The following is a 22,785-nucleotide window of genomic DNA, read 5'->3' as shown; positions in this document are numbered from 1 at the left end:
ATACCCTCTGCTGTTATAATTACAGGACTTTGCTCAATCTCTTTGGCACAGGCTTCTTTAGCCGCTAACACTTTTTATAGATTACACAGCATTGGGATAGTTCCCCAGCTGGTGTGCCAAATGGTGTATTTTGCACTTGTCTTCAGCCAACAGAAATACTTTGCGATTTAGGGTTGGGGAGGATTTAAAAAATGCATTGTATTAGAACATTGTTAGTTAACAAACTCTGATTTTATCCCTAGAATTTATGTTTAGGCTGGGACACAAGAATGAATTAACTCTAAAAAGTTCAGATTCAACCTTGAGCAGGCCTAGGGACCAGTTTAGTCTTAAACTTCCATTCTAAACTGAACAAAAGTCTTCAGGTTAACTCTAATCCCAGCCTATCACTCTAACATAGTGCTGTCCAAAAGAACTTTCTGCAATGATGAAACTATTCTGTGTCTGTGCTATCCAATTCAGTGGGCCACATGGCTAGTGGTTACCATATTGAATAGTGCTGTCCTAGAGAAACAAATCTGGCAAAATCCACTAATGACAGTTCTACCATCTACTTGGGCAGACAATGTCTATCCTCATTTCACTAGAATTCTCTGCAGCTTCTGACTCTGTGGACCATTTCACCCTTGAAAATCTCTCTTTTCTGGGTTTCCATGATACCAAGGTTTACTGGCTTCCCTCCCATCTCTCTGTCCTTCTCCCTCTCCCTCTTGGGTTTTCCCTTCTCTACCTGCTTCTAGTATTAGGATTTTTCCAAGCCTCAGTCCTTAATCTCCTTCTCTTCTCTGCAAACTCTCCCTACGTCATGTCATCCATTTTCAACATTCACTGAGTACTCACTACATAGGCACAGTTATAAACATTTTATATGCATATTACTTAATTGCCACTACTTGAATAAGTTGTAGGTACTATTATTCATTTTACAGATGAGAAAACAGAAGTTTAAAAATTCAAGTCACTTGCCCAAGATCACAGCTAATCATGATGTAGCCGCGATTCCAATACAAGCAATAACTTGTGACTTACACATTTGAAGACCATTATTAAGCCCATGTTCCTGATGTCTGTATCTGCAGCCAGACCTATATTTCTCATTGCATATGTGCAACTGGAAGTCTTAAAGGCATTTCAAATTCAATCTGTCAAAAAGTATTTACTATTTATCTTTCCCACCTATATGTGCTTCTCTTACACTCGTTCCTGTTCTGGTAAGCCCCACCCACCAATTTAGAATCATCTGCCAATCCTGGGAGTCATCCTGGCATTCCCTCGCCTTTCACCCTGAATCCAGCTGATGCTTCTTCAATTCATTAGCTCTTCTCCAACCTCAGTGTCAGTGCCTTCTAATACCCTGCCTGGACTTCTGCAGTGGTCTCCTAACTGGTTTCCTAGATTTGGTCCCTGCTCCCATCCAATATATCTTCCATATTGCTGCTTATCTTTGTAAAATGCAAATCTGCCGGGCGTGGTGGCTCACACCTATAATCCCGGCACTTTGGGAGTCTGAGGTGGGCAAATCACCTGAGGTCAGGAGTTCAAGACCAGCCTGGCCAACATGGTGAAACCCATCTCTACTAAAAATTCAAAAATTAGCCAGGTGTGGTGGTGCACGCCTGTAGTCCCAGCTACTCAGGAGGCTGAGGCAGGAGAATTGCTTGAACCCTGGAGGCGGAGGTTGTGGTGAGCCGAGATTGTGCCACTGCACTCCAGCCTGGGCGACAGAGCAAAACTCCATCTCAAAAAATAAATAAATACATAAAATGCAAATCTGTCCATAATATGACAAAGCATCTAAGAGCTTTCCACAAGCTCTTCGTACAAAACCTTTCATGACATGACCCCTGCCTCCTCATTCGTTTAAACATAAAGGAATGTTTATGTATCCTTTATGCCAGCCATAGCAAGAAATCTGTATGCTGTAACTAGCCCATGGCTGCATCACAAGCTATTTCTGCCACTCCAAATGCTCCTAGCTTTTCTTTTGCCTGCTAAATTCCTATTCTTCTAAGATTCAGCTAAATGTTCCCCTCCTCTGGGAAGCCATCGTTCACCTTCCCAGCTAGAACCAGCCCTTCCCTCTCTGGAGTCCTCTGTGAACACCATACAGAGTTCTCTTACATCCCTCATCATGGTCTTCAGCATTCATTTGGATATGTGCATGCCCATCTAGCAGGGATAGTTTGAAAGCAGGGACTGGCCCTTACTCAGCCTTGAGTCTTTGTGCTAGCCTGTGCCTAGATCCTACTGGCTTCAGTAAACTGAGCACAGAGTGATGGCTTTGGCTACCCAGACCCCGAAGCAGAAATCTTGCATACCAGGATATAGTCGTATTTAATCTTGGGAAGGGACTTTATAGATCAAGAAAAAGAATTCATCACTGCGACATTCTTGGTGTCCCTTCATGGACAATTTTTACTGGCGGTAATCCCTGTATCAGTGATGACAATGAATGTGACACCATGCCCCACCTGATGGTGATGATCTGCCCAATGCCCAAGTCCAGGTCATTCAACTGTGCAATAAACACCGCTGCCACTGCTTCATAGAGCGCAGTCCCATCCATGTTGATTGTTGCACCAACGGGTAACACGAATCGAGTGATCCTCTTGTCCACCTGGTTATTTTCTTCAGCACAGCGGAAGGTGACAGGCAGTGTTGCTGAACTGTGTGATAAAAATAGAAAGGAACTTATGTCTAGAAATGCTGGACCTTAGTCCCTGCCTGAAGACATGCCTGTCTTCCAAAAAGTAAACAAAGGGTCCTTTTAGGTAATCTTGTCGAGAAAAGTAAAGAAAATAACAAAACAAAATGAAACAAAGGATCCAAATCATGCTAGCCCTTTAGGCAGGTCCAGGAATCAGAAGGTGCTGTGCCCACCACTGCTCCCAGTTATTCCATAACCCCTTCCTGAGCTGCAGGTCATGCCAAGAGAGCAGGAAATATGCAACAGCATGAAGCAATGTGTTCAGGGCCAGGGGCCGAGAATACGGAGGTCATTTCTCAAAGACAGCTACAAAAACCGCAAGCTGGAGTCTGTTTTGTAAAGTGAGGTGAGAGTTGATAACGTTGAGCCTGGAGGCTTCTTCCAGAAACCCCTCTTCTGTTTACCTGGAAGAGATCATGAGAGCTGTCAGGAGAGCCTGGGCCATTCCCATGGCAAATCGGAAAGGGTTCTTTCGTACGACTATGAAATATATCAGCGGGAGAATTACAATGGAGTGGATTGCAAGCCTGTAAACAAGAAAGAGAAATTAAAGTTTCAAAGATAATACCACCTCCCCACACTTAATCCTTTTATCAAACATCTTTTTAATTTATAAAATTGTTTGACTTTCATAATGGCCCAATAAGAAATGGGAGTAGGGCAGGAATATACGTCCCATTCCATGTATGAGGGTTTAGAGGCTCTCTCAGCACATGAAGCATCTTGTCAGAGTTAATGACAAAGCCAGTAGCTGAATCCAAATTCAAGGCTTCACAGAACAGAATTATATCATGCTGCCACACCCCTGTGTGTGCTATTCCTGCCACATGCACAAAAGTGCCCTTTTTTCCTTCTGTTGCTGCTCAGTTCTTCTCCTCTTAAGACTCAGATAGGCATCCCCCTTCCTCCAGGAAGCCTTCCCTCACTTCCTCAGGTAGGGCTGAGCCTTCCTTCCTTGGCACCCTGTATGTCACCACTACCTTATACCTCATTATACCCCTTATCACAGCGCTCAGTCCTCACCCACTCCATTCCCTGCACCAAGCTGCTGTCTTGCTGGTGGCGCCCACTGTCTAAGAGGGAAGTCAGAGTTACAGTAAGGAAAAAAGTCTCAGCTCTTCCACAGCCATACTTTAGGATTATTTCTTTCTTTGTTATTCCTGCCTTCTCAAACTGTTCATTGTTTCACATGGAAATACACAGGTTACATGAACTAGGAGGCTTAAGAAATGAGACTCATTTCACAGATAGATATATATGTAACTGGCAGCTTAGAGTTTACAGATCAGTTATGTGTGTTTGAAATAGGAAATGGCCATCAAAAATATAGATCCTGGAGTTCTGGCGAGAGGATCTTCTTGATAGAGAGCTTGTAGCTAAAAACCATGAGGAACTGACTTTTAGTTTCCTGTTAGACACCTAGCTGGGGTAAGAGAATAGAAACCAGCAGAACTCGGTTATGAAATGGCTCAGCTCATACACCCCAGCCACGTCACTGCTGAGACACGATCCCTGGCACTGCCTGTTTCAGCAGCCCTACAGCAGGGTGGCCTCCAGTGAATTGGAGGTCCCACCTCCCTTAGCGCCAGGGGCCTCACACTGTAGGGACCAAATCTGCCTCTGTGTTGGCTGGCAGGGCTGTGTTTTTGGCAAACACAGATTAAGAACCAAATGCGCTGTGTTGGAAATCTCCAATACGATCAAGTTCCAATAGGTGAGTTCATTGCTCAAGTTGGGTGTTTGTAGGTATTGACTTGTGAGAGTCAAATCAATGATATTTATTTATTCCCTTAGTCTGTATTTCTTAGGGTATGTGACATATTCTGCCCCTGTCTAGGTGTCCAGGGGCACCATTCATAACTTATCCCACCTCATCTTTTCTCAAGGAAACAGTAGCTAGGCTGTAATAAATATGGAAACTACCCAACCCCTGCTGCCTTCCTGTTTAATGGCTTCCAAAAAGGCCCACACAATTCCTCCCAGCCTCAAGATTCTCCTGGCACCCTCTCTGACACTCTGATGCTGCAGGACATGGTGGTGGTTAACAGCCCCAGCAACAGTGTTTGAACCAACAGCCATCCTGCTCCTACTTGCTCAAGTCTGATTTCATTTAGGCCCTTGCTAATTTCTTTCAGGTTCAGGGTACATGGAGGCTATTCTTGCTTGCTTGGCTAGTTTACATTCTTAAGGAAATGAAGGCCAGGAGAGAGCCAAGGGAGGCTACGAGTGGGTTTCTCTCTTGTTGTAAAAAATTATTTTAACATAACCAATAAAGGCAGTGACAAAGCCTGGTCCAGGCTGTTCTGCCAAGAGCTGACAATTAGCACAGCATGATCCACCTACAGTACAGCTGTTAAAGGGCAGCCCTCCTCCCCCTGCTGTCTTATCTCTGAACCCTATCTTTCCCAGCACATAGGGCAGAAGCCAGTTTTAACCAACTGAAACCCAACCTCTCAGCGGCCATCCTATTAGATCAAAGGAGGTTTCTGTCTCTTCTCTTGAGTCTGACATACCCAGTCAGGACTGTGGCCATGTAAAGGCCCAGCTTGCGGAATATTTCCCAGTCTTCAACTTCTATGATCTTCCCAGCAATCAGGAACAAAATACCTAGTGGCATATAACTGGAAAGGAAGCACAACAGAGGCGTGATTCCGTCATCAAGTGCTTTCTCATGCTAGGTTGGTGGGGAAGGAACACTCCAGTGTGGGCACCCTCAGCTTGGCATGCACACTTGGTGGAGCACAGGATGGGAATTGAAGCTAAGAGTTGTTTCAAGTCCTGGGTGAACAATATTGGCTCTAGTTTTTAGTACCTGTGTGCACCTTAAATTCTACCCATCCAAACTACCATAGGGTAGTTTGCAAACTTGGCAAGAACATGTGGTTAGATGGGTGCGCACCTCATGCCGTGTTCCTAGTGCATATATATCCTGCTGATTGTCCTATCTGCAGATCTCACTTGAGCTTGACCCTCACTGCCAAATATGGCTCTTTCTAGCCACGGTCATCTGTTTCCCAGGTATCAGCAATAGAGGCGATAGTATTAGTACTGGAAGTGATCATAATAGCTCTATTTGTGGAGCTATCGTTGTATCTTGCATGAGGGAAAGTATTTTACATGCATCATTTCATTTAATGTACTTCTCCTATCCCTGGGGGTAGCTTTTATTATCCTTTTTAACAGATGATGAAGCTGAGGTTTCTGCAGTATTAAGTGACCTGCCTTGCCATTTTTACTGAACCCTTTACATCACTGTCAGTATCTACACTTTGGATTAAATAATGTTGAACAAATTAAATATGAGGTAAGCGAGACAGATGCATCCTAAGAAAGGTGGACTTTTTGGCATTTTCAGGGAGAGGACAGACACTGAAATGGTGTCACTGGTATGCTCACGGATGGTAGCTTTCATTCAGATGGGTTAGTGCCCATGCAGTGCCAGTTATAAATATTTTGAAACTCACTTTTGCATGGGGTGCAATAGGGAAAGCACTTTGTGTTCTCATGTACAGTGAAATCCTTCAAATCATTTTTTAAAGAATTACTTCTTACACGAAGGCTGGTTGAGTGCAAGATGATCTCCCAAGGCTTTGAGGGAAAAGACAATGGTTGATAGCTAGACTTCTGTTCATGAACTAACTCCTGGGTAATATGTGGAATTATTTAATACTCTAGTGGTGGCTGGGTGTGGTGGCTAATGCCTGTAATTCCAGCATTTTGGGAGGATGAAGTGGGTAGATTGCTTGAGCCTAGGAGTTTGAGATCAGCCTGGGCAACATGGCAAAACCCTGTCTCTACAAAAAATACAAAAAAATAGCTGGGCATGGTGGTACATGCCTATAGTCCCAGCTACTCAGGTAGCTGAGACGGGAGGATCGCTTGAGCACAGGAAGTTGAGGCTGCAGTGAGCCGAGATTGCACCACTGCACTCCACCCTGGGGTGACAGAGTGAGACTCTGCCTCTAAAACAAAAACAAAGAACAGCAACAAAAGCCCCCACAAAATACTCTGGTGGTTCAATATTAAATGTCCAACTTCTCTAGCTTCATCAGTTGACAAACATAAAACCTCTTCTTTCTAATTTTGAGGAGACAGAATTGTCAGGGGAAGCAAAATGACATTAAACAGTGTCTGCTCACCACATGATGATCTGAACGATTTTCATGGTTGCATCACTCAAAGCATTGAAGAAATCCACCAGAATTTGTCCCTTTTCTCCCATTTTTCCAATGACAAGTCCAAAGACAAGGCAAAAGACAATCAAGCCCAGGACGTTTATGCCATCTGAATACATGCCAACAATTTTGTATTCCTTTGTTTTGTTCTGTGGATCAAAACCAAGAAAACATATTGATGCACGATTATAATCTTGTTAGAAAGCACAGGTCCAGAAATGAGAAGATACAATGACCAAACATAATAAACTGGTGATCTCCCAGGCAGAGTCAACAAAACTATAGAAAATATAAAAACAATAATAAAAACACCTATGCATGTAACAAACTTTACCCTTGCTCCCCGAAGTTAAAATGCTTTCTCTTCTTTCAACAAGTCCATATTTGAATATTTCTTATAAAGATTTCTTATTCTGGAATGGTTTATATTTTTATTATGAATTTTAGATTGAAGGCACTTTTCAGGGTCATTTTAACTGCTAGCTACATTTGGAGTCTGCTTAAAAAAACACAGGAATTAATAATGCAGGAAGTACAGAATACTTACCAGTGTGAACACTTTTAGGACATTTTACCTTCTGTTTTACCCTGATAATGAAGCACAGTAACACTCTTTATGCCTGCGGTCTTGGATGACCAATAGGATTATTTATTTATTTATTTATTTATTTTTTCTGAGATGGAGTCTCGCTCTGTTACCCAGGCTGGAGTGCAGTGGTGGTATCTCAGTTCACTGCAACCTCCACCTCCCGGGTTCAAGCAATTCTCCTGCCTCAGCCTCCCTAGTAGCTGGGATTACAGGCATCCGCCCCCACACCCAATTAATTTTTTGTATTTTTAGTAGAGACAGGGTTTCGCCGTGTTGGCCAGGGTGGTCTCGAACTCCTGACCTCAGGTGATCCGCCCACCTCAGCCTCTCAAAGTGCTGGGATTACAGGTGTGAGCCACTGTGCCCAGCCAGGATTTTTTTAAAAAAACTTTTACATTCAGGGGTACATGTGGTGCAGGATGTACAGGGTGTCATGGGGTTTGTTGTATAGATTATTTTATCACCCAGGTATTAAGCCTAGTATCCATTAATTATTTTTCCTGATCCTCTCCCTCCTCCCACCCTCTACCCTCTGATAGGCCCCAGTGTGTGTTGTTCCCCTCTATGTGTCCATGTGTTCTCATCATTTAGCTCCCACTTATAAGAAAGAACAGGCAGTATTTGGTTTTCTGTTCCTGTGTTAGTTGGCTAAGGATAATGGCCTCTAGCTCCATCCGTGTCCCTTACAAAGGACATGATCTTGTTCTTTTTAAATGGCAGCATAGCATTCCATGGTATATATGTACACATTTTCTTTATCCAGTCTATCATTGGTAGGATTTTAGACATATAAAAATTAGCCAAATACCTACTACTGTGAATCATGTTTTTACCTTTTTTTTTTTTTTAAACAGACAGGGTCTCATGTTGTCCAGGCTGGGGTGCAGTGGCATGATCATAGCTCACTGCAGCCTCAAACTCCTCAAAGGAGGGCTCAAGTGATCCTCTCACCTCAGCCTCCCAAGTAGCTGGGTCTACGGGGGCATGCCACCATGCCTGGCTTAATTTCTTCACTTTATCCTGGGTAAAAATAGCCTGAGATTTACAGAGAGATAACTGAGTGGTGCCAACTATGTTTATAAAGAATTATGTTAGCTGGGTGCGGTGGCTCACACCTGTAATCCCAGCATTTTGGGAGGCTGAGGCAGGTGGATCACCTGATGTTAGGAGTTCAAGACCAGCCTGGCCAACATGGTGAAACCCCGTCTCTACTAAAAATACAAAAATTAGCCAGGCATTGTGGCACGTGCCTGTAATCCCAGCTGCTTGGGAGGCTGAGGCAGAAAATTGCTTGAACCCAGGAGGCGGAGGCTGCAGTGAGCCAAGGTCACGCCACTGCACTCCAGCCTGGGCGATAGAGTCAGACTCCATCTCAAAAAAAAAAAAATTATGTTGAGGACCCACTGGGCTACCAGTCATTTCTTACTTATGATCAAACATATATTTAGGGAAAAGCTAGAGTATTACTGCACTGGCTATAGCATAAGGTCTTAAGATTCAGCTGGAGAGACAAGACTGACTGTGAGAAGCATGAGCCAATAATAGCAGGAAGGTATGTAATTAATTGTGCGCCCAAACTATGAGATACAAGCGTCATATGAAGAGTGGGACATGAATGTGGGTTTCAAGGTTAGGGAAAGCTAGGGCTGAGGAATCAGCAGCCAGGAGAAAAAGCATGTTTCAGAAAGATGGCAAGCAAAGGCAAAAACGATCATGCACTGGGCCTTTGCACCCTGCTTGAATAATTCTTGCTCATTCATTATGGCCTCCAGACTAATTTAACATCCCTTGCTGAATGCCTCCCAAACATCCCATTCTTCCTGATTATAATACTCATCATTCTTTGTGTGAGGACAGAGGCCTGGCATCTGTCTTTTCACCATTATAATCCCAATGCCCAGCAGGGCCTGGGGTATAGAGGGTGCTCAGAAAGTATTTGTGGAACAACATCAAAAGGCAGGAATAAGGAGTGATGGAGGAGGTGAATCTGGAAAGAAGAGAGGTGCCCACTGGAAGTAAGCTGTGAAAACTAGAGAGAAGCCAGGTCATGCAGGGCCTCTGAACTCAGCCAGAGGAGTTAAGGCTTTCTGCAGTAGGAAGCAGGGAGCCAACGGTGGTTTATTTAATTTGAATTCTTAAGTCTAATGAACACTCCTTTTCTCCTTAAATCATTCCTTCCTGTGTGAAGTTGAGAGAACATTCGGGAGAAATCTGCTACAGGCTTACAGAGGTACCAATGCAGGCCCACACATTCTGATCTCCAATTCTGAAATCCCAAAAGCTCTCAAAGCATGTTGATTTTATTGATAAGTTTATAGCAAACTCTTTTGGCAGCAAATCCCATCCTAAACTGAGATGAGGCTACTGGCTACTAAGGGTCCATTTCTCTCCTTGGCAGAATATTTATGAGTTTGTTATAAAAACATTGATGTGGTTGATTCTGGCATGTTGTTGCCCATCCCACTTATAAAGGTTGCATAATATGCAGTATATACACCACATGGCCTTTCTAAAGTCTGAGAAACTCTGAACTCTGAATTACATCTGGGCAGAGAGATTCAGACTAGGAATTGTGGGCCTGCATTGCATGCTTATGTACCTGACAAATCTATAGCAGTTTCTAGAGATGGCCAGCTCTACTGTAAGCAGACCCAGAGAGGTAGAGGCAACAGGGCTCTTTTTTTGCTCTTTGTGGTCGACTCTCTCTATTCCTGGTAGTTATGTTCTATAAAGTGCTCATGAACACTGAATTAGCAAATACTGAACCGTTGCTCCTGGGGGAAATACAGGGTTAAGTTTCTGGGAACCTTGGACACATCCTTTTCAGCAAACAATCAATATATAACATTGTTGTATGTGTTTCTTTTAAAGACACCTTGTTTCATATAGATTGTTAATTTATTAATACTGACCTCACAGCCAACAGCACTATAACTCATGCCTGAATGAAGCTTATCTAAAGCACAAATTTTCTCCCTAAGGCACATCACAGTCTTCTTGTGCTTAGGAACACTGGAGACCACTTCAATATGATGCTTTTTTGTGTGTATGTTTTTTTTTTTTTTTTTGAAACAAGAGTCTTGCTCTGTCACCCAGGCTGAGTGCAGTGGTGCAATCATAGCTCAAACGATCCTCCTGCCTCAGCCTCTCAAGTATCTGGGACTACAGGCATGTGCCACCACACCTGGGTAATATTAAAATGTTTTGTGCATATGGGGTCTCACTATATTTCCCAGGCCGGTCTCAAACTCCTGGTTTCAAGCGATCCACCTGTCTTGGCCTCCCAAAGTACTGAGATTACAAGTGTGAGCCACCATGCCCAGCCTGGTCCTTTTTTTTTTTTTTTGAGACAGGGTCTCAGTCTGCTACCCAGGCTGAAGTGCAATGATTCAATCATGGCTCACTGCAGCCTTGAATTCCCTGGAACAAGCAATCCTCCCACTTCAGCCTCCCGAGTAGCTGGGACAATAGGTGTGCACCATCACACCCGGCTATTTTTCATTTTTTGTAGAGGTGAGGTGTCACTATGTTGCGCAGACTGGTCTGGAACTCCTGGGCTCAAGCGATCCTCCCGCCTCGGCATCCCAGCATGCTGGGATTACAGACATGAGTCACTGAACCCCACCTTGGTCCATTTCAAACAGCGAAATCAGCAAGAAAAATCACAAAAATGCAAAAAATATGACACTAAACACACTGCAAAAGGGACACTTGTTTCCAGCATGAGAATCAAAGCAAGAAAGCAGAGCACAGCCTTTTTCACCTTAGCTGGGAACGTGCCTGTCGGGTGACTCAAATATTTTGCCGCTCTTTGTGTGCGAGATGATGACCATGAAAGCCCCTTAAGTATGGATTTTGGGGTCACACATAAATTTTAGCAAGTAGGTGAATTTGCAAATGCGATTCTGTGAATGACGAGGATTGATTGTATTTCCTGCTCAGTCATGACTCAGTGCCTGTCTCCTGGGGAAGAGGAACAGGAAATAAGAATGGTACCTTGGAAATTGCAGTTGTCATGACAGCTGTGAAGGACTCTTCTGTCATGTTCATCTCTGGATCGCTGGGAGGCTTCACTTCTTCACGCTTAGTTTTGTACTGCATGTTGGAGAAAATCAAGGACAAGCAAACAAAAAAAGAATTTTTTTTAAGCTTTTGAGACTAAATCACAGGAACATGTTATTTTGGCCAAACAGTGCCACTGAAGGGATCTACATCCAATGCCTCTGTTGGCTCCAGTTGTCAACGGTACCTCCCATCAGGTTTTGGAACTAAAAGCGAGGCAGAAATTTAAACCCCTGACTCCCACGATCACCATTCAATTATGTCAAAATGTTCCTTCACTTTCACAATAAACGACAAGTTGATAGAAGAATAATACAAAAGAAAGTACAGGCTTGATCTGCAGGTGCTGTCAGAGACAGACTCTGTAAGGATTCCTGTCAATCATTTTTGTTTTTATTAATTAATAAATGATTTTTAATCTGAGCAAACACACTTCATTACTTTGATAACATCACTACAACTTTAATAAGCATCAAGAAAGGTTTAACGATATGGTTGTTCCAAAATCAACAGTCCCCTTGGGGCTATTCAGTGAGTGAGACTGCAGTTGAATTCTCTTCTTTCAGCCCTGTTTGGTTCTGTGGAGCTTCCACATGGGGATTTAAGAAAGAGTGAGTATATTATTACACCAGGCATAAATGTCCCCCACTACCAGGCTCTGCCAACACTGAGAACCTTACAAACAACCACTGTGACTGATCTGCAAAGGCCCCCTGTAATAGAGGAGGTTCTGTCCCTCGTGGAGGCCGGCAGAGAGCAACAGAGTTGCCATTTTTGTTGGTATACACAGAAGTCTGTGTTCATGTAACTTATGTGAATGAATACAGCAGTTTGTGATGGACTCAGCTGTCTTAAAGCACATAGATAAATAGGAGGGAAAGGCTTGAAGTAAATGGAGTGAAGAGATTGTTCAATTTTCCTACAGAAAAAAAAATCATGGCTTTGTTACACTGCATTGTAGAGCTCCAGCAATGGGGATACAACGATTTTTTATATTTTTTTTTAAATTATTTCTTTTTAGAGACATGGTCTTGCCATGTTGCCCAGGCTAGTCTGGAACTCCTGAGCTCAAGGGATCTGCCCACCTTGGCCTCCCAAAGTGCTGGGATTACAGGTGTGAGCTTCCACGCCTCTCTGGGACACAATGATTAAGGAGAAGACTGAACCCAGATGTGGACCACACCATGAGGGTTAGATCCTGGGTTCTAATACCAGAGGAAAAGCAAAGAGGAGATAGAGAGCTACCTTTTTTCTGCAGAAAGTTTAAACTTCAGTACAAATATACTATGGTTCTCCAAAAATAGGTACTGGAGGCCACATTTTAAAATACTCATTATTTGACAGATTTCTGATTTGTACCATTTGAGCCTTTTTGGGGGAAAAAGCATAAAGGAAAAGGAAGCAGTGTAAATTGTGACATGCACCTTACTGTGAGCCAGAAAGGCTGCATACAAAACAGAGACATCACCTTAAACTTGGCCAGTCACAGGTTTACTTCCTGCTGCCATTTTCACGGGGCTAATTCCATTTCTTGAGTCACAGCAGAAAAAAACATTTTTAATTGATAATGGGAAGAGGGTAGCAAGTTAAGGGCACAAGTAATTAATATTACCTGCTGAAAACAGGCCTGGACAAGATTCTCAGGGAACATATTCCTGTTGGAGACATAAAAGGCAGTATTATGTTAGGGCAAAAAGTATTGTTTTGTCATACCTAATATATTGGTAGAAATTAGTATAACATAAAACTAGTACTCTGGTTTCTCTTCTGGCCCCTGCTTTGCGTAATACTTCCTTGTATTGAGATTTCTTTTTTCCTGCTGAGCTTCACCCAAGTATAGAAAGCTCTGTAATCAACCATCACTTAATTGATTCACTGAGTAACTGACATGCTTACGCTCCTTGGTGAAATGGACACTCACAGTCAAGAGACTATTTATTCTTTAATATTCTGAACACTTCTGTTTTCATCAATGAGGTTGTATGCTTACTGATATGGTTTGGCTCTGTGTCCCCACCCAAATCTCATGTCAAATTGTAATCCCCACATGTCAGGGGAGGGGCCTTGTGGGAGGTGATTGGATCATGGGGGGTGGTTTCTCCCATGCTATTCTCATGATCATGAGTGAGTTCTCACAAGATCTGGTTGTTAGAAAGTGTGTGGCACTTCTCCCTTCGCCCTTGCTCTCTCTCCTGCAGCCATGTAAGATGTGCCTTGCTTCCCCTTTGCCTTCTGCCATGATTGTAAGTTTCTTGAGGCCTCCCCAGCCGTGAGGAACTGTGACTTAATTAAGCCTCTTCCCGTTATAAATTACCCAGTCCCAGGTAGTTCTTTATAGCAGTGTGAAAATGGACTAATACACTTACCAAGGGTTCATTTTATTTGTTCCCAAATTCTTTATACCAGTTGCAAATATCATCATAATTACTGCATTTCATATTATGTAAACCAGTGAAATATGAGCATAAAAAGAAGGTATGGTTTCTATAAAATCTAAGCCACATACCTGGAAACTCAATAAAGGCCAGTGACTAAAATTTTTATGGTTAGATTAGGTATGGGAAGATTATTGAAATTAAAAAGAAAAACTGGAAAGATTTGCACTTAGCTTTCTTTGCAATGTCTAAAAGTTTTGGTGCTCTGTTCTATAGAAACTTTACCTGGAAATTGCAGATGATATATTTATAAGGGCTGTATATGCAACAGAACCCGTAAGAAATTACCATGAGCTAACAAACTTGAAGAAAAGACCTTAGCTTTATGTCAAACAATTGGTGAATAAATGCACTAAGTTTTAAGTGAAAACAAAATTGTAATGTGTATCTTATGTCTTTTTTTATGAGTCTCTGCTTTAACTGGTATTTTTTATTGACTGACCTATTTACCCCTCTGGTTGCTTTAGATAAGAGAGTTTCTCCTGTACAATTAAAAGATGTATTTTTCTAAGTGCGCTTCAGAACTGACTACCAATCCATCCCAGCATCTCTCTGGAACATGTAGCTGCATCTCTGTTCATCCTAAATCCTGATGCGGAAGCCTGTTTCTTCCCTTCCCTCTTGGAACCAAGACTTGGCAAACAGTACTGGCTATGTAATTTGTGGGTTCCTGGGCAAAATGAAAGTGCACAATAATTCAAAAGTTATTAAAAATTTCAATACAGTAACAGCAGAATATTAAACCACATACAAGGCCTTGTGCTGCTATCCGCATGCCCTTGAAGCCACCTTGTGGCAAAACACTCACCTGATGAGATCTAACATGGCATCCACCGTACTGACTTCAGGGGTGCTGCCTGTCCTCGCAATTTCACCCACTTTCTGGGTGACACCAGGCTTGATGCTCACCACCAGCACAATACCTGTGGCCAAGAACAGCGTCCACAGAGCATTAGGAACCTTCCAGGGCACCTGGCACAGCTGGCACCTTTAGAACAATGGGCATGGTTGTACCAGGCAATAGTGTGATGGGGAGGACCCTGAGGTCCAGCCAAAATGCTGAGCCTCCTCTGGAACCTCAGCAGCCACCTTAATTACTCTTCCATTTAAATGAGTAAGCAGAAAGAACTCCATGTGCTTGCGTGCGTGCGTGTGCGTCTGTGTGTGTGTGTATGTGTGTTTTAAATGAAGGGGCTGCATCCCAGAATTGCTTCTGGAAACACCTGCTGATGAGAATATTCTTTTTCTTGAACTTATGAGACCAGCCTAGGAAGGTGTTAGGGTAAGGATGATCCATTTTCTAGCCCAGAGAATGCATCTGATGTCTTTCTGCAACTTTTACCCAGATGCTGGTTATTCTCCTGAGGATCATACAAAACAAGCCTTGCCTTCCTTCCATACCGTAGGTCTTCAAGTATCTAGAAAGCAGTCATGTAGGAAAATGCTGTTCCGGGGGTGGAATGAGGACAAATAGATGGGATTTATAGGGAGAGAAGGTTCATCTCTCTGTAAGGAAGAACTGTCTACATGGCAGAGCATCTGACAGCATCATTGTGGCCTTGGGAAGTAATGGGTTCCTGTCACTTGAGTATCCAAGCCAAGATGGGAGGCTGTAGAAGAGACCAAGACATTGGAGGGTGTTTGACTGGAGGGAAGTGAAGAAGAAAAAGGTCCTCATGCTCTTTATTGCTCCTCCCTCAAGAAGAGGCAATGGTAATCCAGGGGGTAGGGCTCTGGGATGCTGAATGGGTCCATTTTGCTAATGGGAGGAACTCCTGGGCAATAAGGGGCCATGACTGGGCATGGCCCACTCTTTTCCTCTCTCAGGGTTGTAGAAGGGCTATACGCCTCCAGCTAATAAGAGAGCAGTATCTTGATTCTCATTGCTATTTTTTCTCTGTGTCTGTCTTCCTCAGGAAACTCATGAGATGATGTGGTTTTGTTTTATGGTACAGTTCAAGCCCTCCTGGGTCCCTTGGCCTAATACCACTAAAGCCTCACCACATCCCACCCCTTCTTATCAGCTCATTGAAGCAGGGCTACAAGGGCCGAGCTGCTGCCACATCTGAGTATATGCTCCTTCTGTCTTCCCCCTCTGGGCATTCTTCTTTTTTTTTTTTCTCTCTCTCTCTTTTTTTTTCTTTTATTATTATACTTTAAGTTTTAGGGTATATGTGCACATTGTGCAGGTTAGTTACATATGTATACATGTGCCATGCTGGTGCGCTGCACCCACTAACTCATCATCTAGCATTAGGTATATCTCCCAATGCTATCCCTCTCCCCTCCCCCCACCCCACAACAGTCCCCAGAGTGTGATGTTCCCCTTCCTGTGTCCATGTGATCTAAAGGACTATAAATCATGCTGCTATAAAGACACATGCACACGTATGTTTATTGCGGCATTATTCACAATAGCAAAGACTTGGAACCAACCCAAATGTCCAACAATGATAGACTGGATTAAGAAAATGTGGCACATATACACCATGGAATACTATGCAGCCATAAAAATGATGAGTTCATGTCCTTTGTAGGGACATGGTTGAAATTGGAAATCATCATTCTCAGTAAACTATTGCAAGAACAAAAAACCAAACACCACATATTCTCACTCATAGGTGGGAATTGGGCATTCTTCTTAAAATGTCACTCAGGGTTACAAAGACCAAGCATTCTTCAAAAAACTATGCTAAGGGTATAAGAGCAGCTCCTCCCTTATTAGAATTTTCTCCCTCTTACAAGTGGGATTTATCCTTAACAAGGATCTATTAGCTGTTAGCTCTTGTTACTACGTGAAATGCACTAAAATGCTATATTTCTGGAAATATTTTATAATTATACTCAACTCCACTATTATAGACCAATCATCCACTTTAAGAATTATGTAAGTGGCTGGGCATGGTGGCTCACACCTGTAATCCCAGCACTTTGGGAGGCCAAGGCAGGTAGATCACCTGAGGTCAGGAGTTCAAGACCAGCCTGGCCAACATGGTGAAACCCTGTCTCTATTTAAAAAATACAAAAATTAGCTGGGCATGGTGGTGTGCACCTGTAATCCCAGCTACTCGGGAGGCTGAGGCAGGAGAATCATTTGAACCCAGGAGGCAGAGGTTGCAGTGAGCCGAGATCATGCCACTGCACTCTAGCCTGGGTGACAAGAGTGAGACTCCCTCTTGAAAAAAAAAAAAAAAAAAAAAAGTAGTTAGGGCCAGGCACAGTGGCTCATGCCGGTAATTCCAGCACTTTGGGAGGCTGAGGCAGGCAGATCCCTTGAGCCCAAGAGTTCAAGACCAGCCTGGGCAACATAGAAGACTCCCCACGTCTCTTTTTAATTAAAAAAATACATATTTTAAAAAGTAGTTGAGCTTTTCTTAACATACAATTTTTTAAAATCAGAAAGTAGTATTGTCAAAGTACCATAAAGTTTTTCCTTTGAAGTCTGTCTGCCAGGTTCAAGTGATTCTCCTGCCTCAGCCTCCCAAGTAGCTGGGACTACAGGCGCATGTTACCATACCCGGCTAATATTTTTGTATTTTTGGTAGAAACGGGTTTTCATGTTGGCCAGGCTGGTCTCAAACCCCTGACCTCAAGGGATCTGCCCACATCAGCCTCCCAGATTTCTGAGATTACAGGCCTGAGCCACCGCATCTGGCCACCAACTACTTTTCGAATGAAAAAATCACCATTACATAAAGTAGTAAGGATTCAGAAATAAGTATTACCTAGAATAACAGCAATGAGAGTGGTACAGAAATAATACACGACAGCGCGCAGACCAATTTTTCCGGATACGTTGGAATCCAGTGCAGCAACACCTGAAGGGGAGACAGAAATCAAATTACATTAATTTTAAAAGACAGGTTTCCAGGACCCGCGATTTAATCCTCAGGTTGTGAAATAAAGAGCTGAGAGGCGTTCTCATCTACAGACAATGGGCAATAACATGCAATGGGCAAAAGCAACACTTCAAAATTCCAAACAGATTTAAGAGAGGGAAGCCCAGTCAGGTGCAAGTTCCCCTGCAGGCAGCTTCCCACAGCCTTCACCTCCAGGAGTGTCCTGCCTTCAGATCTTCCTGGAGTTGGTCAGGAAATAATCATAAGGAGTCCCTGTCCCACATTTGCACTAAGAACTTTACCAAGATTTGTATTATATCATTCAACATCCCTTGTGATAAACCTCCTTTGGAATTCAGTTATCTAGGAAAAATTTATCTCAAAGAACTGAGATCGTTTGTTGTTGTTGTTGTTTGTTTGTTTGTTTGTTTTGAGACAGAGTCTTACTCTGTCACCCAGGCTGGAGTGCAATGGTGTGATCTCGGCTCATTACAACCTCCATCTCCTGGGTTCAAGCGATTCTCCTTCCTCAGCTTCCCGAGTAGCTGGGATTACAGGTGCACACCACCACACCCAGCTAATTTTTGTATTGTTAGTAGAGATGAGGTTCCACCATGTTGGCCAGGCTTGTCTCGAACTCCTGACCTCAGGTGATCCACAACCTTGGCCTCCCAAAGTGCTGGGATTACAGGTGTGAGTCATCATGTCCTGCCTGAGATTTTTTTTTTTTTTAACACTTGAGAATCATGTAACTCATGATAGTTTTCCTTTCTGCCTTTTCTGTCAGGAAGCTTAGGCTTAACTGGAAAAAATAATGTTTATATACAATTATAAAAGTAATATATATTCATTACAACTATCTGAAAAAGGAGAAAAGGTAAAGATGACAACAAAAATCACATCATCTCATCAACCAAGTTAATATTCTGGTGATTTTCTTCTAATATTTTTCTCAATTTTTTGTAAACAGCTGGGAGAATTTTATAGTTTCTAACCCTCTCTCTTCTTCTTAATATTATAGTTGTAAGCATTTTCCCACATTGTTACAAACTCACCCTGAGGATAATTTTAATGGCTCAGTAATCTGTCATGTGGCTGTACCAGAATGTATTTAATGATCCACTTATTGCTGGATCTTTAAATGGTCCCGGGGCCACATTCACAGTAATGTCATTATCCATTCTGGTTAGTGTGTTTCCTTCCTCTTTTCATGATTTTCAAATTGCTTCTGTGTAAACAACCTTATTGTGTATAGCTTTTATTGTGAGACATCTTAAAATTTCTATTTGAAAAAGGAAAGATATTAATAAATAATTTCCCAGGGCACAGGTAATGTCAGAGACTTACGATCATATTGTTAGATCTCACTTCAAATGGTCCTTGGCTACCAGTAAGATGACTAAGTGTTGCCCAGATTTGAAAGGGCTGTCTGGAGTGTCAAGGACAGCTGGATTAGAGGTGGAAGGCAGGCATCCCGCCTTGCCAGAAACCTTTGCTCTCTATCAAAGATGCTCATATAAACGGAGTCAAAAGCCGTTCTCCAATTGGACTTGGACGTGGGGAATGGGCCAAGTTGAGAAACAACTGAATCATCTTTCGGCAAGCTGTCATTGGAGGTTTCAGACACTACCAAGCCTGATTTCCAAAATGAGGGTCATATTTTGAGTCAAAGGAGCATTATAGAAAATGATTTTGCATATTCAACACGCATGAGTTGTCCCATAACCATTTGCAAAGCCTAAGGTACAGGGTAGCAGGAAAAAGGAAGAGGTTGTCACAAGGCAACCCCAAGGGAAAGGCAGTAAACCTGTATGGCTATCAGCATGCATAGGTAACTTTTATGTTCATTTCCCACACTAAAAGGCCTATCCATTTTTTTTAAGTGACTGGGGGTTTATGCTTCTCATATATAATCATACATATTTGATGTACAGGAAGAAAATCTGCAAGGAAGTGATCACCATTATGATGACAGAACAAGTCATTTCTCACTCTAAACACACCATTTCTCTGGCTGTTGATTGCTCCTTTGGAAGTTAATATTTTGAGAGAAGGTGCTCTGGCCTCTGTAGCAGCTACCCCAGGATGTTGTTAAGGCGCCATTCATCAACCACTGAGAAAAGATTGTGCAATTGCCATATAATGGGCATACTGCAATAGTCACATTCTAGAATAATCTTGATGATAGATTCTATTCGATTTGAGAAAAATGCAGTTTGCTGTGTTGAAGAGTCTTTCTTTTCCTCCCAGTAAGACAATGAAAGATAACAATTAGGCAAGGGACAACAGCAACAACAAAAAAGTCAAGAGAGATTGAAGGCCAAAATTCAGAAACAAGTTCACTATCTCATATTTAGTTTAGGTCTCTTAAAGAAAGAGCAAATCATAATACAAATATGTAAGCTTGCTAAGTATATTATATGATTATAAAATATGTGCCTGTTTCATTTTAGAGCTTGGTATATTGTTTTGATAACTGTAATAATTATTTCTAAGATGCATAGGTTAAAAAGAAACAAAAAGAATCACCACCTTAACAGACTCCAAGTAACTCATCTGTAGCCCTAATATGGGATCTATTTTCAGATATGTCGTCCTTCTTTGGTAGATGTCCAGTTTAAGCAGATTCCAGCCCCTGAAGTGCTGACAAGTGAGAGTCACAGAGTAGTTACAGAGCTGTTCTCGGGGATGTGTTTGGTACTCTCTCAGGATTTTCTTCCAGCAGTGAAACAAATTAAATCTATGTGGATAATTGTTCCCAGCATATGTTAATATGTCTTAATTTGTCTTAATGATTTGGCCATGGGCTGGTGCCTCTGCTTGTACTCCAGGACTCAGCTGGCAATAAAAGGCTTGATAATAATGAGATCTTGGTGAAAATATCTTAAACAAATACATCCCCAAGTAGTCATCCAATTTCCCCTCTGTCCTGGAGCACAGCAACTATCTTGTAGTAACTTTCAGCACGGGTCTTTGTTTCCCATTCCTCTAATCCACCTCCATCCTACCAATTTCCCGGATATATCAGATATTTACACAAATCAACGATTATACTTCTCTACACTGTATAGTTACCTCTACCTCTGTATAGTTACCACTCTATAGTTACCCTCTACCTCTCTAGTCATCAACATGGGGGCAGAGCTGGCCCCCAAGTCCAGGCTGTTGGATGATTTATAATGCATTGTTGGGGATAAGGGTGGTGACCACCATAGAGGGAGAGAACAGATACAGGGAAACAGCCTAATCTTTGAAAACCTCTATAAATAGGAACATTACAGAACTTAATGACCATAAAATATCTGTCTGGATGGTTGTAAACACCCCATCTGCGAGTAATGTCAATAATGATGAGGATGATAATCATAATACAAATAATAATGATGACAATAAACACTATATTGACTGCATGTTAATGCATCATCTTTAATTCTCATTACAACCCAAGGAGGCGGGCATTATTACCCCCATTTTACAGAGGACAAAACTATAGCTCAGAAAGGCTAAGTACCATACGATCATAAAGCTGGTAAGGTGAGTGGTAGAGCTGGGATCTCAATCTACATTTTACCTCAAAGGCCATATTCTTAACCACTATTCCATATTGGCTCTATCCATGTGCTACAAAATTCTAGACTAGCGCTGCCCAGTAGAGCTTCCTGATGATAGAAACGTTCTGTTTTTGTGCTGTCCCCTGCAGTAGCCACAAAGTGCATATGGCTAGCAAGCACTTGGAAAGTGGCTAGTGTGACTGACAAACTGAGTTTTCATTTTAATTAATCTATTTTAATTTTTTTTTTTAATTGTAGAGATGAGGTCTCACTATGTTGCCCAGGCTGGTCTTGAACTCCTGAGCTCCAGCGATCCTCCCACCTCGGCCTCCCAAATTGCTAGGATTATTGGTGTGAGCCACCACACCTGGCCAGTTTTAATTAATCTCAATTTAAGTAGCCACACGTGGCTAATGGCTATCATATTGGACAGCCCAATCTCTCTAGACCCTACCAGTGTTTAGCATTTAGTGGGTGCTCGACAATGTCGAATGAACAAACTATAGCTTAACTCCATTATCAAATTCAGGAAAAGCTCTTTGCCTTGCAAGCATGGGCAGGGGAAAGGAAGATGCTACGCGCAAATCTCCTGGCACGTAGTTCCATCACTGCACTGATCATATGGCTGTAAGGCCTGAAGCTTATTCTTCACTGGGCCCCCAGTGCCTTAAATAAGGTGCTCTACGAATGTTTGTACTTGAAGCTTTCCACATGACAGAAAGAGCTGCATTTTTGCAAGTAATCGTCTGCTTACAAATGACCCCATTTCAAAGATCCATTTCTGGGTCCGAAACTTGGACCTCAGCAGGTAGTCCCCTTAGAAACCGCTTATACATGGTGGTTTAGTTTGGTTCCCAGGGCAGCCAACGAGAACACTTTTCAGCCATAAAAGACTCCACAGGGGAACACATGTAACATCTCAGTCTTTTTCAACCTTGTTTTATTGTTGTTGTTGTTGTGCAAAACCACCCCCCAAAGCCGTTTTCCTAATCACCACCCCTCTGAAATTCTAAAACCGCAAACTGTATATCTGGTTATATAGTAAATGATACATGTGTTTTTTTACATAAAAAGAGTAAGATTTTCTCCCCCAACTCACCACCACCAAATAAAAACAGCTTTTGCTGCCTTGGGGACGATATTGTCTTGGTGAGAACTTGTGGTCTAGCGCAATGAATGTTGACTGTGAGAATGAGAATCCAGGCATTAGACTCTTAACTGGCGTTGACGTCGAAGATCAGGCCCAACTTAGTCCCAAACAAGTAAAACCTCATTTGCCCTTTAGTTCTGAGTTTTTATTCTCAATGGACCCCCGGGTTTCTTGCTCTCAGGCCATCTTTGGTGGCTGGCGAGGTCTGAAGGACCCCCTCTCTTTACAGTTCACTATCAGAACTCGTTTCTCCTGGGAGTTGAAAGCTGTCCTATAG

General features: G+C 42.5%; 1 protein-coding gene across 7 annotated transcripts in view; it reads right to left on the bottom strand.

Moving 5' to 3' along the window:
• Positions 1 to 22,785, bottom strand: part of SLC1A1 (solute carrier family 1 member 1) — a 97,002-nt gene that overhangs the window by 8,235 nt on the left and 65,982 nt on the right. For 5 of the 7 annotated variants that reach the window (XM_011518007.2, NM_004170.6, XM_011518010.2 and 2 more), the window contains 8 exons: positions 17,694 to 17,786; positions 14,777 to 14,891; positions 13,146 to 13,188; positions 11,468 to 11,566; positions 6,847 to 7,031; positions 5,221 to 5,328; positions 3,112 to 3,234; positions 2,472 to 2,666 (listed from right to left, as the gene is read on the bottom strand). In XM_011518007.2, coding sequence (XP_011516309.1) covers positions 2,472 to 2,666; positions 3,112 to 3,234; positions 5,221 to 5,328; positions 6,847 to 7,031; positions 11,468 to 11,566; positions 13,146 to 13,188; positions 14,777 to 14,891; positions 17,694 to 17,786 — 961 coding nt within the window. The remainder of the gene's footprint in view (positions 1 to 2,471; positions 2,667 to 3,111; positions 3,235 to 5,220; positions 5,329 to 6,846; positions 7,032 to 11,467; positions 11,567 to 13,145; positions 13,189 to 14,776; positions 14,892 to 17,693; positions 17,787 to 22,785) is intronic. The other 2 variants (XM_017015042.2, XM_017015043.2) reach the window with 1 other exon arrangement.

This window comes from Homo sapiens, chromosome 9 (assembly GCF_000001405.40).
Source record: "Homo sapiens chromosome 9, GRCh38.p14 Primary Assembly".
NCBI classification, from domain to species: Eukaryota; Metazoa; Chordata; class Mammalia; order Primates; family Hominidae; genus Homo; species Homo sapiens.
The sequence above is the reverse complement of the archived record's forward strand: the minus strand, read 5'-3'. Positions and strand labels throughout refer to the sequence as shown.